Source organism: Homo sapiens, chromosome 7, assembly GCF_000001405.40.
Source record: "Homo sapiens chromosome 7, GRCh38.p14 Primary Assembly".
Classification (NCBI taxonomy): domain Eukaryota; kingdom Metazoa; phylum Chordata; class Mammalia; order Primates; family Hominidae; genus Homo; species Homo sapiens.
In genome coordinates, this window is record NC_000007.14 from 143358440 (window position 1) to 143370720 (window position 12281).

Consider the following 12281-nt stretch of genomic DNA (forward strand, 5'->3'; position numbering starts at 1 on the left):
CAAATTCATGACTCGAAATGCTAAAGGGCAAAGGCTAAAAGAGATCCCCAAGGCCTTTCTTTCTTTCAAAGACCAAGGTCTCCCCATTTTTTTCCCTGCACTTGAGGGAGTTCAGGTTTGGATAGTCCCGTGATGAGGAGAGAAGGCATCTGGGATGGGTGGACCCACAAATCCCATCTAATTACACGCATTTTCTGAGATGATTATAAAAATATGTTTGAGGGCACTTATTTGAATTACCACATCAAAATACTTAGAGCTGTTTGGGAAATGTGAATCTACGGTCAAAGTATGGATGGAGCTAATCCTGCCACAGGGGATCAGGTTGGAGGGTCGGTCCCTGGCCATCCTGCAAATGTGTCTCTTGAGGCTTTAGGGTACCTGTACCTGCTAGAAAACGTGCCTCCTTCTCGCCATCGCTGAGGTCGGAGTAGGCATCCGTATCCCTGCGCACGGACTCATGGCTGTGTTGTGGCTGAACAGCTGGTGTCTTCCCCCAGCCCTGCCACTCAATCATGTGGGCCACCCGGCCTTGCCCCATGGCTGTGGGCTTTGTCACATGGTCCTTCATGCTCCGTGAGATCCCTATGGGGCCAGACATTTCCCACATCCTCCAGAATATCACACAATACCCATAACCAGACCCTCCCAGTTCCTCCCACCCCAGCCCCATGAGGCTCCATCCCACTGGGCCAGGCTCCCCTAAGGACTCCATAGATGGGGTAGTGGAGGGAATGGCCTGGAGGATGGGAGGCTTGACAGAAGGGTGAATAGGTCAGGGGGTGGGGATGAGGGTCTTCATCAACCTCGAAGGAGCAGGGAGACTGAGCCAAGGAGTCTGTCAGCATTATTTTGTCTGAAGGCATTCTTACATCAGGAGTCTCACCTGAGAATGATGACTTGGCCAGGGCCCCAATGCCATAGGCGTTAGAGTTTCGCTTAAGCTTCGGAAGAATGGAAGTGGTGTCCTCCATGGAGAGCTGGGATGGGAATGTGGGAGGAAGGGCAGAGGAATAAGAAGGTACGGGCGTGCTTTATACATGGAGGAGGTTCATGGTTTCCAGGAAAAAGCATTCGAGCTAGGGCAGATGATAAGAAAAGCTACTATACCCAAGAGTCCCAAGGAGGGATATATCCCCAGTGCTCTGGAAAACTGGGGCACAGGTTGAGAACGTGAGTGCTCACAGTGCCTATTGGAGCCAGGGAATACCGTGCTGGTTGGAAGGTGCAAGGGAGAAGATGAGGAGGAGGAGTTCGGGAGGATGGGGAGGTCTGGGGGCAGCTGCACTCACGTTGATGCCGTCCCAGGAGAAATCAGTTCGAGTTTGCTGTGAGGAGAGAGGAAAGGGAATGGGCATCCCAGTCACTCGCAGGAATGCAAGGAAGCCCCCTTCCTCAGAGGGCCTTCCAGGAGTGCGGGATGTGGGGAGGGCTTTCCTGAGGTTGATGCCGCTAACTGGGTTCTCCATGTGGACTGCTTGGCATGTGTTGTGAGAAATGTTCTGTAGAAGTGTCAGTCTGAAGGAGTGTTTGGGTTGTTGCCTTGGAATTGAGGAAGTGCAGGCAGCCAGAGACTTGGGGTGGCTGAGTGAGGTCTCACCTCAGTCGATGGCCGATGGAGGCTGCTCCCGTGCAGTGAGCTGGTGCTGTCCATGTTGATTTGATCGACATCCTTCAGGCCCTTCCAATCCACTGCAATCACCTCATTCCCTGAGGGGGCCAGAAGGTTAGCCGCCGGCCCTCACCTCCCTGTGCAGCCGAGGCGACACCCTGGGGCCAGCCCTTCACACCCCTTCCTTACCCCAGCTGCCCATTTCCTCTTATATCCCTGCACTCTCCAAATTCTAGGGGAGACAAGTAGTAATGCTGAGCCCAAATATTCAGTTTTAGCTCAACCCAGAATAGTGCACTCAGAAAAAGTGATGTATGGCCTTATTTGTTGTTGTTTATGTGGAGGGGTCAGAGGTTGGGTTTTATCAGAAAACCAATTATTCCGTCCTGAGGACTCTTGGAGGGTTTCTGTATGGGAGCTGGGCTTTTTCTCTATTACAAGTCTACAGATAAGGGCAGAGCTGCTCTATGAGGAACTTTTCTCTATGCTTAGGGTGGAAGGGATGTGTCTCCCCCGGTGGGCCCTTCCTAAGAGTCCATGAGTCTGACTGACTGGAAGAGGACTTCCTGGGAATCGAGGCAGGAGTTGGATAGCAAGGAGTTGGGTGTGTCCTCCCAAAAACAGTGAGCAGAGAAACCAAGGGTGAGCTGGAGGCATTTCACCTGACTGTGGGGAGAGAAGTGATGGATTAAAGTGGAGGGAAGCTGGTGAGCAGGAGGAGAAAAGAGAACTTTTTAAAATAGGAATTAAGAAAATAGGAATTCAAGTCAGAGAGAAGACAGAAGATGGTGGGAGGGGTGGACAGGGTCTGAGGGCTGAGTGGGAAACTGCAGGACTCAGGGGAAGGAGGGTCCTTGTTACAGCCGGGCCAGAGCTCCTGGTGGAGGGAGACTCCTGGACTGAGGGCAGGATGGTGCCGCGGAGAGTCTTGCGGAAGAACTGCTTGGGTCTTCATAAAGGGACTATTCAAGCAGCAGATGGCTGCCTGAACCATCTGACCGTACAGGCCCTTTATACTCATGAGGTTTTACAATTGTGAGTTTAGGGGTCGGCTCCATTTTTGGGAAGGGGAGCATTGAATGGGGCTGGGCACGAGGAGGCATTCAGCACATCAGCAGGGCTGGGGGAAAGGAAGGGGCTTGTGGTGAACCGGACTGAGGAGGGAGGACCCTCCAAAGTTGGCCTGCTGTCCCCTGGGGCTCCGCGGGGTGGTGACTGGGGGAAAAGAGGAAAGATGGCCCTCCGGACACAGCAGGAATGGGGCAGGTGGAGAAGAGCCTGAGGAGAAGGGAGACAGGGGAGGGCGGGGTGCGGGGGGAGAGGGGAGCGGGAGGTGGCCTTTGTGAGAGACGGAGAGCTGAGTCAGAGCTGTGGGGGGCAGCGGGGAGGGAGAGAGCCGCGGAGAAGGGGTGAAAGCAGAGGAGGAGGGGGTATCCATGGAAATAAACCGGGTCTCAGGGAAATCAGGCTTCTGGAGAGTGAGTTTGTTTGTAATAATAATACGAATTATTCTCTCAGCCTGAGGTCACCGGGAGGTGTAGGCGGGAGAAATTGGGAGTTGGAAAGGGGAAGAATGGGGGAGGGGGTGGGAGAGGGCCGGATGAATTCGCTGAGCGGCGAGAGTGGAGTGGGTGCCTGGGTGGGGGTCAGGGGCGGTAGCCAGGCAGAAGCTGGAGGGAGAAGATGGATTAGGAGGCGCCTCTCTTCCCTCCCCGCGTCAAAGGTAAATAAAGAGCCGGCCCCGCCCCGCCGGCCCCCGCTGACAGGTGCAGGCGGGTCCCCGGCCGCCGAGGCAGGGCCGGCCCCACCCTCCCGGGCCGCGGGCTCCCGACCCCTCCCAGCGCCTCGAAGCCCCCATCTCCTCCCCGCGTCCCCCAGCCCCTTCCCTCCACCCGGCCCTGGCCCTGTCCCTCCGGGCGTGGAACCCGGGCTCATCCCGCCCCCGCCCCAGAGGGAAAACGCACGTGAACAAAGCGAATCGGAGGAGGCAGGAACGACAGTAAAAGGCAACGGAGAGGGAGAGAGAGATGGGGCAAAGCACCCGAGCCAGATGGAGGCGGCGGCGGGGGGTGGCGTGGGGGGCGTGCGAAAGAAACTCGGGGCTGGCGCGGAGGCCGAGGGTCCTTCGCGGGGGGCTGCTCCGGAGTGGGGGATGCGAGGAGGCGCTGGGGACGGCGGAGCAGAGGCGGATGGCCTGGAGGGGCAGGGATGAGGGGACCGAGCGTCGGGCCGAGAGGCAGAGGAGAGGAGGGCGATGGAGAGGATGGAGAGGACCGCGCCTGCGGGAGGGCGACGGGGAGAAGGAAGCGAGCCGAGCGGGATGGCAGCCCCGGAGGCGCAAGACGAGAGCGGGCAGGAAGGAGGGACAGAGGGACCGCGGGCGGACGGAAGGAAAGTGAAGGAGCTAGCAGGGCAAGGCGGGTGCGGAGCGGGGCGCCCGGAGGCGCGAGGAGAGGGATGGGGGAGGGGGTCGGAGGGCGGCCCGGGGGGCCCAGCCCTGCCCCCGCCCGGCCGCGGTACCCACCCACAGTCCGGGAGCCGATGCAGCCCATGGCTCCGGGGGCCGCAGAGCCGGGCCCTCACCGACTCGGGGCGCGCGCCGGGGGGAGCACCGGGAGCCGCGCCGCCGCCCCAGCCGCTCTGCAGCGCCGCGGCTGTCTCCGCTCGGCTCCGCTCCCCCCTCCCCTCTCCATCCCTCCCCACGGCAGCTCCGTCGCCGCCGCCGCCGCCGCCGCCGCCGCCGCCTGGCTCCCCCGCCCCGGCTCGGCTCGCCGCGGCCGGGGAGGGGGCGGCCCGGGGATTGGCTGCGCCCCGCGCCTCCCCGCCCCTGCTCCGGCCGTGCCGGGGCGCTCCCTCGGGGATCTGGGGCCGCCGTCGCCGCCCCCCTCCTCCCGCCCGTGCCAAGCCCCGCTCCCGGGGCTCTCTCCTGGAGAACCCCGGCTTGGGTTTCAGGAGCCGAGGCACGAACCCAGGGCCTACCCCGAGGTTCTGGTTGATGGATTTTGCGGGCCGGGGTCAGGGGATGCCCTGAGAGAAAGTGGGGTGGTGGTGAGAATAAAGCCAGGCCCAAGGGCCTTTGGCCACCAAATTCCGCAAACACTTGTTTTCCTCCTGGGGCCGCATCTGGGACACACACAGGAACGTGATTGGACACAGCTTTGGGCTCTGTTGTTTCGAGTGCGCTATTTTGTCCATCCAAACAGAAGGTGAAGTCTTTGCAAGTGAATCGTGTAGTCCACTTCTCTGTGCTCGCTGGACATTCAGGGGTGGGTGTGGGGATGTGCAGATAGTTGACCTCCAGGCCTGGTTGGGGATTGGAGAATATGAGGAGGACAGTTCATTCGCAGTAGACTAACAACAATGTCAGGACCCGAGGCTGGCTAGGAGACATCGTCTTGAATCCAGTTTAACTTTTCTGAGACGTGATCTTCTCGGACAAATGAAAGCAAGGCGGTCCCGAAGCAGCAAAGAGAGAGAAAGATTGGCCTCTGGCTAGTGGGACTGGGCCAGGTAGATACCTCAAGCCCCATGGGGAGGAGATGAAGGTCTAAGTTGCAAGGGTTAAATGAGCACTGTGGTTACAGCAGGTAAGAAGTGGAGTCCAGAAAAGATGCATGAGAAAGGGCAAGGAGACCCTTTTGTCTAAGGTGTACCCAGAAAGCCCAAAGTGTGAGAGAGTGGGCAGGTGGGCATTCACAGAAGCAAGTGCCCATCCAGGCTCTGACTGCACCTCGCCCACTTTTAGGTCTCTCCGAGGTTGCAGAGAGAGAAGGCAATGGGCCAGGGGTCCCTGGTGTGGGCTCCTAACAGGGAGGCTAAGTCTTATGGATGCAACTTTCTAACCTTTAGATTATGAATGGAGAGCTACATCCCATGGGGTGGCAGATGAAGATGTGCAAGAAGAAGACACTAACAACTGAATTGCAGATTGAGGAGATGAGATTATGGTGACAGAATCCATCTTCGGTGTATGTGCATGAAGAAATAAGCCAAATCTACATCTATAAAACCGCGGGAAGGAATGAGATAATAATCAGTTGCAGGTCTGCTTAGATTTTAATCGTTTAGTGTAGTTCGTGGCAGGGTCTGATACCCTATTTCAATAGTGGAGAGAATTAGAAAGCATTTTCTTTTTTCATATCTACTATTATTGGTTATATAAAAGAAGTATCAAATAGTTTCTGCTTTCATGGAATATACTGTCCAGTCGCAAAGGAAAGAAGATGGAGAGATGATTAAAAAAAAAAAAAAGAACAAACAGCTTCCATTATTCTAGCAATGCCCACACACCCCTATTGTTTGAGCAGAGAAAACGCTGACAGGGGACTGGCCAGGTAAGGAGGAACAGACCACGTGGCCATTATGCTCTTGCCTTCCCACCTGAAACTTCTGTCTCCTTATGGCTCTCCCTGAGTAATACATATATTTATATATGACTACGTATCTCTTACTGTGGTTCCAACTTGGATGCAAACCTCTCCCCTTGGTCTCCTTAACACAACTATATAAGGCTGCATTTATCCAAATGATTTAACATGAGGGATTCCAGGTCTTGGAGACTCAGTCCCATCTTGCATTCTGTCTTGAAGGTATTTCCAGTCCCTCCCCACTACCCACACAAAAAAAGTAAAATATTCTAGGCATATTCCTGGCCAGCTTCCTTCCTGCTCCCTATAGGTCTTCTTATACAAGGATTCTGCTACTTCTCACTAGTTAAGGCCATTGTCCCAGTCTCCTTGCCAAAGAGGTCCAGGGCACAAAAAAAGTTTAAGAACTTCTGGACTTTAAATACATACTTGGCGGGGGGGTTCTCTAATTCTGCAGGGGCTTAACCCCCAAATAAAATGATCAGGCAAGACACTTATCCCATTTTGAAGCTGGGGTCCCCAGGAATAATTGTAGGTACTTCGGTGGTACCTGCAGGATTGAAAGAAGGTACCAAAGCTTCACACTGATCCCCACAAATGGAGAGATGGCTCCAAAACACAACTTAATCAAGTGTTCCTTTTATTTTATTGGGATATATTAGATCAAAGTTAAAGGTCTATGAAAAGATTCAATTGAGAAAGGGAAGCTCAAAGTACAAGAGAGGGGAAGATTAATTAATATTGAATGTAAATTCCTAAAACCACCTGGAGGGATGGGAGCAGAGCTCAGGGAGGGGGATGAGACTGTACAGGAGGAGCCCAGCTCTTCTTCCAGCAGCAGGGAAGACGGGGCAGATGCCAGTGGGCTGCATGTTTGGTGTCAGGAGAATGAGGGATTCCCATCTGACGGCATCTACTTTCTCTGACAAGAAGGAGGCAAGATCATTTATTGAGAGTCAGAATGAGAGAGATAGAGAAAAAAATAAAACTCACTTTAAAGTGCAAATATCAATATACAATTGATTTAAAGAATAGAGTTTTCAGTCTATTCTTCCAAACCTCTAAGAAAGATATTCTTCTTGCATTGCAGTTGAGAGAACTGGGGCTGATAATTCAATTAACTTCCTTTTCCCTAAGATTTCCCAGTTGGAAAGAGAAAAAGCTAGCACTTTTTTGTTTGGCATTTTGTTTTGTTTTGTTTTTGAGACAGGGTCTCACGCTTACCCAGCCGGAGAGCAATGGCATGATCAAAGCTCACTGCAGCCTCGAGCTCCTGGGCTCAAGTGATCCTCCTGCCTCTGCCTCCCAAGCAGATGGAACTACAGACATGTGCCCCAACCCTCGGCTAATTTTTTGTATGTGCCTATTTTAGTAGAGGTGGGATTTCACCATGTTGTCCAGGCTGGTCTAGAACTCCTGGCCTCAAGAGATCCACCCGCCTTGGTCTCCCAAAAGGTTAGGATTACAGGCGTGAGCCACCACGCCTGGCTTACTAATTTTTTAATTTTTATTTTTGTAGATGGGGGTCTCACTATATTGCCCAGGCTGATCTTGAACTCCTGGCCTCAAGCAATCTTCCTGCCACAGGATCCCAAAGTCCTTGAATTACAGGTGTGAGCCATCGCACCTGGCCAAAAAAGCCAGCATTTAAACTCAGCTCCTCAGAGGGAAAATCTATTCTGGATGTTGTAGAAAGTGCTTTATTTGTTCACTTAAAAAAACTAAAGTTACTCAACTCAGGACATTTGAATGGATACACGTTCTTTCACGCTTGTCTTTTTTTAATTAAGGTGGGACCATAAACTGAAGAGAGGAATACATCTATCTACATTTCTAAATTTTGAAATGGGAAAGCAATGATCTTTCTTCAGAGTGATTTGTAGCAATAAGTCTTTGGTGCTTTCATAAAATACTGATGATAAGTGTCTTAGTCCCTACTTATCAATGTCCTTGTATGGTGTTAGAGTATCTATCTTCAGGCAGCCCTGAAGATCAGTCAGCTTTGGGGCACTCCTAGTGGTTCTCAAATACCCTATTTGCTAAAGGCCAGAAGTGAGAGTGCTGATGCTGGAAAACATTGGTAAGAATAGTCTTGGGGACTAGGTGGAAATCACGAGGGTCAGTAACAAAGGTCTGTATTCTTTTTTTTTTTTTTTTGAGACAGAGTCTCACTCTATCACCCAGGCTGGAGTGCAGTGGTGAGATCTCGGCTCACTACAACCTCCACCTCCCAAGTTCAAGCAATTCTACTGCCTTAGTCTCTAGAGTAGCTGGGACTACAGGCACCCGCCACCATGACTGGCTAATTTTTGTATTTTTAGTACAGATGGGGTTTCACCATGTTGACCAGGCTGGTGTCGAACTCCTGACCTCAGGCGATCTGCCCGCCTTGGCCTCCCAAAGTACTGGGATTACAGGTGTGAGCCAATGCACCTAGCCTGAGGTCTGTTTTCTTTAAAATGAGAATGATTTCCTAAATATTCAGTCAACAGGAGGACCAAGAGTGGGGTTTAGGGGCATTAGGTTGCTGACAAGGGACCCCATTCATACACAGGGGCAGACTCAGAGGCAAGTCATGGATGAGTGCAGATGTTTGTAGTGTGTAAGTTGTATTCCCACATAGTAGGAAGTGGCCATAGAATCTGTCCTAGTGGTCGATATAGTTCTCCCCCGACCCCTACCTGCCATCCCCAGCTGGTTTCCCAGAGTAATCAACAGATGAGGGTCCTGGCCATTGTGCTGGGGCACAGCAAGTTTGCTGAGGAAGGATGGCTCAGCCAGTTAGTTATAGAGGATGAGAGGGTCCATGGCAGAAGTTCTGTGGTTTCAGCGTTGGTGGTGGGGACAAAAAGCCCTCACATTACCAATCTCTGATCTGTTGGACACTATGAAAGAGACCAGCACAGGACATGCTCATTTGACTTTTAGACAAGGTTTGAAATCTTGTAAAATATTGGGGATCTAAGGTGAGCTCACTCCCACTTTTAGTTAGAAAAGAAAGCTTATCTCTGGGCACGGTGGCCCACACCTGTAATTTCAGTACTCTGGGAGACCAAGGCGGGCAGATCATGAGGTCAGGAGTTTGAGACCAGCCTGACCAATATGGTGAAACTCCGTCTCTACTAAAAATACAAAAATTATCCGAGCATGGTGGTGTACACCTGTAATCCCAGCTACTCAGGAGGCTGAGGCAGGAGAATCGCTTGAACCCGGGAGGTGGAGGTTGCAGTGAGCCAATATCACGCCACTATACTCTAGCCTGGGTAACAGAGCAAGACTCCATCTCAAAAAGAAAGAAAGAAAGAAAGCTTATCGGCATGGGCAAACGTGGCAGGCACATTCTCCTTAGTGTAGTCCCCAGGCGCACACCTCCATGAGCCAAAGCCCTCCTGCATGGGCAGGTCAACGTCCCCAAATCACGTTCTGTAGGATTCAGCAGAAGAGAATGCCCAGACAACTGCTTCTTTGGTGACTGTCATAGAGCCTATGCTTCAGATGACCAAGGGGATGCATTTGCCCTGTGTTTTCTTTGGGAAGCACATTTGTGGGAAAGCCTGCAACCCCTACTGCAGATTTAGGGGTTCCATCCAAACATTCTGATAAGAAAGGCCAAGCCAGCAGATCGCGCCTGCATATCTGCCAGAGAGCCTGGAAGAATGTCAGCGCTTTCCTGCTGCTTCCTGGTCAGGTCCCAAGCACACACAGCACCTCAGGGTGTCCTCACCATGACCAGGCCACAAGCAGCAGCGACCAGGCAGGATGCCAGGACCAAGGAGGCAGGGCATAGAGTCTGGGCAACCATGAGTCAGAGGCCAGGTGGGTAGTAAAAAATGGAGTTCATAAATCCCAGAGAGAAGAACCAGATGGGATTTTTAAAGGTCAAGCCAATCCCAGAGCACTGACAAAGAGAGGGAAAGATCAAATAAAGAATACAAGGCAGTTGTTTGTTCCAGCCTCAGTAGGCCTATCTGCCAGTTTTATATTCCTTCCTCCATGGAGAACCAATGAGAACCAGGAACTGGAAGGCTTGTCCTGATTGTCTCCGATGCCTGCCTGTCTAGTATTTATGAACTCAGGGGAGAGGGGCAACAGATGTCATATCACACCTCTGAAGCCTCCCTGTCTCCCCTGCTGGGACCCTTTAGCCCTCACCTGTATGCACATTCCTCTAGGAGAGAGCTCCTGCCTTGTGCTTACAAGCCATCCTCCCCAGCTTCTGCCTCTGAACCACAGCCTGATGGTTGAGGCTCTATTACTACCTGTCAGACTTCTCTATCACCAGGCACAGCTGACAGCCTACCTCTCAGATTCCTGGATATATTTTCCTTCTGAGTTCCCCAGTTCTTTTCCTTTGCTAGCTTTTGGGATATCCTGCAACTTCAGCTTGGATTCCTCTTACAAACACTTGTTTGGACGGAGATCTGTTTCACCTACAAAGTCTAACTACCTGAAACCTTTTATCCTTTCCTGCAACTGATCCTGTTCCTAAATAATGTGTTTAATACATAGTGGGTAGATGTAGCTCCAGTTGGCTATGTCTTTATTTAAGTGAGCCAATCAAGTCCAGAGAAAAAACAGTGAAGGCATTTTCCCGACAGTGAAAGAGTGGTGGATATATAGGGCATTAGTTACAGATGACTGAGTGTTAAAACTGGTTGAATACTTAGAAATCAAGTTCCTTGCTGTACTTCCACAGACAAGGAAAATTCACCTCTCAGATTTTTACAGTCACACACTTAGTAAGTGGCTGAGTTAGTAAGTGGCTGAACTGTAACCAAAATTCAGGTCCTCTAATTCTTAGTCTAACATTCTTTTCCCTATCCTAAGATGCACCCCTAAAGCTATGTTACATTATTTTTCTATGACTTTTATTATAACATTAAGCCCTGTTGAAATAAGCTCAGGCCTCATAATCTTTTTGCTTATGGAGACTGTTCAACTTCTTGCAGATAAAACAGGTTAAAAAAATGTTTTGGCCGGGCGCGGTGGCTCACGCCTGTAATCCCAGCACTTTGGGAGGCCGAGGAGGGTGAATCACCTGAGGTCAGGAGTTCGAGACCTGCCTGGCCAACACGGTGAAACCCCGTCTCTACTAAAAATACAAAAATTACCCGGACATGGTGGTGGGCACCTGTAGTCCTAGCTACTCGGGAGGCTGAGGCAGGAGAATTGCTTGAACCCAGGAGGTGGAGGTTGCAGTGAGCTGAGATCGCACCACTGCACTACAGCCTGGGCGACAGAGCGAGAATCCGTCTCAAAAAAAAAAAAAAAGTTTTAAGCGAGTAGATCTCCTCATAAGCATTCTTACCAACCACAATAAAATTAAAAGAAAAAAAAAGACCATTGTTCTTTCTAACTTAGGAGTTCAGAGCTCATTTAAGAATGGGTACTTAATCCTAGTGTATAGGTTCAGACCACCGTTTGGTTAAGGTTTTGTGATGGTGATAAGCTAATAGGGACAAGGCATTGCTCTCCTGGGTGGGGGTCCACTTGAAAGCTGTTCACTCACTGAATCAATCAATCACAATTATCCTGCCAGGGCACCCACACAGGCAGGAAGGTCCAAAGGACACTGGAAATTTTGAACGCCAGGTGCTGGGTGTTTCTCTCTTTAACTTAAAGAAGAATTTCCTTTCCAACCTCTTTGTTCATGTATATGCATGAGGTGGCTAGTGGTAGTCAAGCCTGAATTTTATTACTGATGGTGGAAAACTGTGTTGGGGGCAGGGCCAAGGAATGCAAGCAATGTCTTCCTTCTAAGGTGGGAGCTGGAATTTGCCCCTTGATCTTTCTCTTCCTGGAGCTCTAGTTTCTCTCACAGCCAAAATTTTTGAAAGAGCTGCCGGCACTCATCTTCTCCATTTCCTTACTTCTCTGCACTCCTCAACTTACCCAATCTGGCATCTTCACTCTACTGAAGCAGCTCACACGGGGGGCTCCCCTGTCAGAGGCAATTGAACCAGAGCAACTCCATCTTGAATAGGAGCTGGGTAAAACAAGGCTAAGACCTGCTGGGCTGTGTTCCCAGACGGTTATGGCATTCTAAGTCACAGGATGAGATAAAAAGTTAGCACAAGACATAGGTCATAAAGATCTTGCTGATAAAACAGGTTGCAGTAAAGAAGCTGACTAAAACCCGCCAAAACCGAAATGGCGACGAGAGTAACCTCTGGTCTTCACTGCTACCCTCCCACCAGCGCCAACAAATGCCATGGCGACCTCAGGAAGTTACCTTATGGTCTAAAATGGGGAGGTATGAATAACCTACCCCTTGTTTAGCATATAATTTAAAAAAATACACA

General features: G+C 51.2%; 1 protein-coding gene and 1 long non-coding RNA gene across 12 annotated transcripts in view; one reads left to right on the top strand and one right to left on the bottom strand.

Moving 5' to 3' along the window:
- Positions 1 to 12281, bottom strand: part of FAM131B (family with sequence similarity 131 member B) — a 28905-nt gene that overhangs the window by 5040 nt on the left and 11584 nt on the right. Inside the window, exons 1-6 of one of the 11 annotated variants that reach the window (NM_001371252.1) lie at positions 4137 to 4274; positions 1601 to 1710; positions 1293 to 1328; positions 1111 to 1190; positions 887 to 980; positions 388 to 585 (exon numbers count right to left, since the gene is read on the bottom strand). In NM_001371252.1, coding sequence (NP_001358181.1) covers positions 388 to 585; positions 887 to 974 — 286 coding nt within the window. In that variant the 5' untranslated portion in view covers positions 975 to 980; positions 1111 to 1190; positions 1293 to 1328; positions 1601 to 1710; positions 4137 to 4274. The other 10 variants (XM_047421075.1, NM_001031690.3, NM_001371251.1 and 7 more) reach the window with 10 other exon arrangements.
- Positions 3267 to 5826, top strand: FAM131B-AS1 (FAM131B antisense RNA 1). Its single transcript, NR_183342.1, has 3 exons — positions 3267 to 3618; positions 4751 to 4818; positions 5462 to 5826. It is a non-coding gene; the product is annotated as an FAM131B antisense RNA 1 (long non-coding RNA).